This window comes from Homo sapiens, chromosome 2 (assembly GCF_000001405.40).
Source record: "Homo sapiens chromosome 2, GRCh38.p14 Primary Assembly".
Classification (NCBI taxonomy): domain Eukaryota; kingdom Metazoa; phylum Chordata; class Mammalia; order Primates; family Hominidae; genus Homo; species Homo sapiens.
In genome coordinates this window covers 193,584,365-193,586,208 of record NC_000002.12, presented here as the reverse complement: position 1 = coordinate 193,586,208, position 1,844 = coordinate 193,584,365, and the positions used below count along the sequence as shown (strand labels likewise).

The following is a 1,844-nucleotide window of genomic DNA, read 5'->3' as shown; positions in this document are numbered from 1 at the left end:
TTGATATGAGAGGTTTTCTTCTTGCCATAATGTTATTACATATTTGCTTTGCAGTCTCAATTGTGTAATTACTTTATGTGACCTGCACGTTTTTATGATGACAAGTATACCCCTTCCATTTCCATTTTTAACTCGTTTGAGCATTTCTTTTAGGACTGATCTAGTGGTGACAAATTCCCTTGGTGTTTTCTTGACTCGGAGCAACTTTATTTTTCCTTCATTTAGGAAACTTAGTTTAGCAAGATACAAAATTCTTGGCTTGCACTTTTTCTTCTTTAAAAAGACTGTAAATGGGACCCTAATGTCTTCTCATTTGTAATGTTTCTGCTGATATGTCTGCTGTTAGTCTGATGGTATTTCCTTCATAGGTGATTAGATGTTTCTCTCTTGCCCATTTTAGAATTTTTTTCTATCTTGTTGACTTTGTATAGTCTGACGACTATATTCCTTGATGAGTTCCTTCTTGCAATGTATCTCCCAAGAATTCTTTAAATATATTGTATCTGGATGTCTAGAACTTTAACAAGACCAGAAAAGTTTTTCTCAATTATTCCCTAGAATATATTTTCCATATGTTTTATTTTACAATTTTTCTGTTATCTCTGGAATAGTTACTACTTATAGTTTTGAAGGCTTTACATAATCCAATATTTATCAAAAGCTTTTTTTAAAATCTCTTTTGAATTTTTGTTCAAATAGGTTAATTTGAAAGACCTGCCATCTAGTTCTAAAATCTTTTATTTTGCTTATACTAGCCTATTGTTAAAGCTTACAGCTATATTTTGTAATTCTGTCAACACATCTTTTTTTCAGAAGTTTTATAAAACCATATATGTCTCTTCTTTCATATTCTGAATTGTTTTATGATTTATTTGTATTGGCTTTCAATTTTCTTTTGGGTCTCATTAAATTTCTTTAAAATAAACATTTTGAATTCTTTATTTGGTATTTCAAAGATTTCATTTTAATTAGGATCCATTGCTGGGCAGTTAGTGTTTTAACACTCTGTGTTTTCATTCTTCCAGGATTATCTCTCTGGTTCCTTCTTATCTGATTAGCTATCTCCTCTTCTCATTTTTGGATTTGCTTTCATTTGAGTAAGATTTTCCCCCTTGAGGGTGTGGCTATAATATGCATTGTGTAGAGTTCTTTGGCTTTGGTTCCAGGTGCTTTAGTGGCAAAGACTATGTAAGTTTCTTGGTTATAGATATCTTTTGTATGGTGACTTTCTTAAATGCTAGTTGTAGTAGCAATTTGCTGGACATGTGAGTGTGCTCACTGCCTCCTGTGGAGTCAGAATGGGGAGGTCTCAGGAAGCTTATCTCATTCCCTAGTGCTGTGCACTGGTGTCAGATTTTTTGTTTGGTTGTGCAGCTTGATGTCTACACCAGTAGGTGGCAATATGGGTTGGATCTGGCTGCAGTCAACACACATCTCCCTATGCATGATCTTTGTTAACCTTGAGAAGCTCACTGTTGCCTCAGCCAATGGTGTGTCCTGTGAAATGGATAGTAGTCTCAGTTCCCAGCTTAGCCCTGGAGTGGGGAACCAAGCTGAATGGGGCTATGCCAAGCAGGCTCGCCTACATGTCACCCAATGGCAGGTGCAAACACCAGCTCCAAGGGGTGGGTATCTGATGGGCAGCTGCCAAGTGCCCAGACAAGTGCCAAGGTGTAGAGTGGAGATAACTCCACTGTCCCAAGTTGGCTCTCCAGGAAGGGAGGGGCAGCCTGAATTCATAATCTAGAAGAGTGAGTGTTCCAAATGCCCGGATATATGTCTGGGCATGGAGCAGAGGGGGTTCCAATGTATCCAGATCTCCACATGAAAAGGGAGAGTCAGCC

The 1,844-nt window shown here is 37.7% G+C and overlaps 1 annotated feature.

Moving 5' to 3' along the window:
- Nucleotides 1,340-1,469: a silencer, noted in NCBI's record as "silent region_12198". NCBI's record gives its function as "represses an Ori minimal core promoter by ATAC-STARR-seq in GM12878 lymphoblastoid cells {active_cell/tissue: GM12878}" and the evidence as "EXISTENCE:reporter gene assay evidence [ECO:0000049][PMID:35858748]".